The following is a 3,890-nucleotide window of genomic DNA, read 5'->3' on the forward strand; positions in this document are numbered from 1 at the left end:
GGAGATCAGTACTCTAGCATTGCTGTTCATTAGAATTCATTAGGGGTTAAAATCAATTTCCCATTCTGTGTATTTTACTGCCCTGAAATCATCTGTTCAGCACAGCTTTCTAACGGTTTTCGGCTTAATTTAATACTTAATATCTCACTTCTGCAATAAAAAAAGGGATCAATGTTCAACCAATGCTGTACTGGTAAATGTTTAACAATCATCTCTCAAAAAAAATGTAGCATTTGCCAATTTCAGCAGTATAAATACCGCCACCATAGCCAATGTTAGGCTGCCAAGATGATACCACCAAACGTGGAGTTGGAAATTTATTTAATTGTAAATTTGTATAATTTAATGTTTAATAGTGGCTGTATTTAGCAATTACCTCACAACATTCCTAAAAATTTAACAATCAGCAAGCTGGTTTGAGTGAGAACTAGCACACTCTTAAAAGGAAGCATGGTGGAAGAATGGAAACAGCATCGTAGCAAGAAAGGCCCCGGATTTTAGCTAAGAGACCATAGGTGACCTACTGAAGTTTTCTGGCTTTAGAGGCAAGAGTAGGCAATCTCTTAAGAACCATCCTCTTCAGGCCAGGCACGGTGGCTCAAGCCTGTAATCCCAGCACTTTGGGAGGCCGAGGCAGGCGGATCACGAGGTCAGGAGATTGAGACCATCCTGGCTAACACAGTGAAACCCCATCTCTACTAAAAATACAAAAAAATTAGCCAGGCGTGGTGGCAGGCACCTGTAGTCCCAGCTACTCAGGAGGCTGACACAGGAGAGTGGCGTGAAGCCGGGAGGCGGAGCTTGCAGTGAGCCGAGATTGCGCCACTGCACTCCAGCCTGGGCGACAGAGAGAGACTCCGTCTCAAAAAAGAAAGAAAGAAAGAAAGAACAATCCTCTTCAAGGATTCTGTGATTTTCACAATCTTCCAATACCACCTCAAATAACTGGATTCTGTTGCCCTTTGCACTTACAGTTTTCTTTCTGCTCAAACACAAATGAAATGAACTAATAATAATTTTTCAATAACAATAACAGGTAACATTTATTGAGGATGTACCAGTGCCAGGAATCTTAACTTATTAAATCTGCACAACTCTATGAGATTGATGCTATGATTATAACCATTTCAACAATGAGTACATGAATGCAGAGAGAAGTTAAATAAATTACTAAAGGTCTCACACCCTGGCCTCTGTGCACTTAATCATGGCACTGTAAATAAATAAACCATAACATTTTCATTATGTAGGGGACATTTTTAGGACTATATAGAGTTATGATTTCTAAAGGAAAATCTGACGAAATAAGAAGTGTGTATCAGGGAGTAGATAAGCCAAAGAAATTTCCTTAATGTTTCCAGGGTAGATTTTTTTTAAGTGGCTCAAATTTTAAAAGTTTTGTGACCATGATTCATGGCCACTTCCTTTGCTATCTAATATCTGCAGTAGTTCCTGACCAAGGAAAGAATTCTTTATTAATTTTGAAAAATACTCCCGTACTATACAATGAGAAGGATAGCAGCATTCAGTAACACAAATTTCCATAAACAAATTAGATATTCCATTACCCCCCAATAAAATCTTATAAGAAACCACCAATTATTGTGAGAATTATCTTCATTTTAACCATCTGGTCCTTCTGAACAGAAAGAGTGTTTGTACATGAGCCTGAGACATAAGACAGAGAACTGTTGTTATCTTGATACATTGCAACATGTGAAAATAATTGCTTTTAGTGTGGCTAATACTCGTATCACACACAATACAACTGTAGGGCAAAATTCTTGTCTGTGTTCCATATAAATAATTTGACTCCAACATTCAACTCTCCTTATATGTACAAGGCTGACTAGACATTCTAAGACTGACTTAATTCTCCATAAAATTTCCCAAACTAACTCAATGATGAAAACCCATACACAAGAAGAATGGGGAGTTAGTGTGACCATTTCCATAACACACATGAACATGTGATTTGACTTTTTTAAAAAGGTAAAGTGTATGTATCCTGTGTGCTGCTTATTCTCTGCCTCTCACAATTATTTCTCACCCTCCACTGCCCTGTTCTGCACCCAGAAGGGTGACTTCTATAATTTTAAGCCCCCAGGCCCCTTTGCACTCTGGCTTCAGGTTGGTTTGGGCCAATAGGAGAAACTGGCAGGAGTTTGAAACATTAAGAAATGGAACAAGGATTTTACATTGCCACCAATATTCTAAGGCCATGGATCCTGCCATGCAGTCCCTCTTACCCTTCCACTCCCTGGCCCTTTCAGGCCCATGGTAACAGCATGTGCCCATCATCCCTCTTGGTTCCCTTAATTTTGACTACACCTCTATAAACAGGGCCTTTGTTAAACTCACTTTGGCTACACACTTATCCTGGGCCTTCTATCCCCTACCAGGACATTCACTGAAACATCATTCTCCAAATAAGTTAAATACAGATATCAAAAATGTTCTAAATGTTATATATTATTTGTTACATATGGTAACTTGTCATATATATATGTGTAGCTATATATTTTCCCCTCTCCATATTCCTTTAAACAGAGAGTAAGTCCTTATTTATTCGATTCAGGTAAAACTGAATTAAAGCAACTTTTCAGGCAACACACCTGTTGCATACATTGAAGTATCCTGGAAATGCAGTTTGCAGTTTAATGCTGAAGAAAATACCTGTTTAAAGATGCATCTTGATCTGTAATCAAGGTTTTGACTATTAAATATTGAAAGCAGGCAGAGTTCAGAAGAAAATACAATCCATTCTATTCCAAGTTATAGGAAGCTGATTACACAGTTTTGCATTAACATGTCAAAGAGTTCTATTTTGTTGCCCTTTCCATCTTACATCTTTGTAGGTTCCTTTCCAGTAAAACACTGACAAAATGAGTTAATAATTATCAATAACAATAATATTAGCTAACATTTATTGAGCCAAATATTGCACAGGGCACATGTATACTAAAAATGATATGTTGTTTATCAGAAATTCAAATTTAGGTGTCCTGCTTTTTAAAATTTTGTTTTGTTTTGTTTTGCTAAATAAGGCAACCCTATACATGTGTGAATGTCTACCAGATTGAGCAACATAGATGTACAACATTTTCATTATTGCAGAAAATTCTATTGGAGAGCTCTGTTTTATCATATCATGAGCTCAGTTTATATTAGTGCTTGGTGTTAATAAAAAAAAATGCCATGTATCATCATCTCACTATCTAAGGAGCAACACATTTTGACAAAAACAGACATTTGTGTAGTTAAAATCCTGAAAAATTACATTTATTTTATTTACTTTGGAGATGAAATAGAGACTGACTTCTGACCACCAGCTTTCAAATGAACACTTTAGGGAACTAGATAGTCATTTTCCCAATAATTAACCCTTTGAGACAGTCTTCCTTTGAATACCCCATAATGACATTCTTTAAAAAAAAGAATTACATTTATTGCAAAATGTAATCTCCATGCAGAAATATGCTTAATATATATTTGTACAGTTTCTAAAATAACCATAAGGCTTGACATTCCTTTGTGATATGTGTTACAGACTGGTTGCTCTCATGGGATCATTCAGAGTTCGTCTCTTGTAATTTTCTAGGTCTGGCCAGAAATATTTTGTTTTTATGTTTAAACACCCCATCAGTCAGCACCTGGTAAATATATAGCTGGAATCCTCAGTAAATTACTTAGAAACTAAAGGAATAGATTGTATTTAAAAAGGTATAAAGAAAATTGACCTCTGTTTCTCTAATAAAAGTGGGAGAGGCAGGACCCTTCCATCCCAATCAGTGTCATTAATTGGTTATTGGAGCAAATGAATGATTCTTTCTACCTGTTCTCCTCCAAGTTTAGGAGGAACTAATCTGGTCAATTAACCTTTGGCATCA

This window comes from Homo sapiens, chromosome 2, assembly GCF_000001405.40.
Source record: "Homo sapiens chromosome 2, GRCh38.p14 Primary Assembly".
Taxonomy (NCBI): Eukaryota; Metazoa; Chordata; class Mammalia; order Primates; family Hominidae; genus Homo; species Homo sapiens.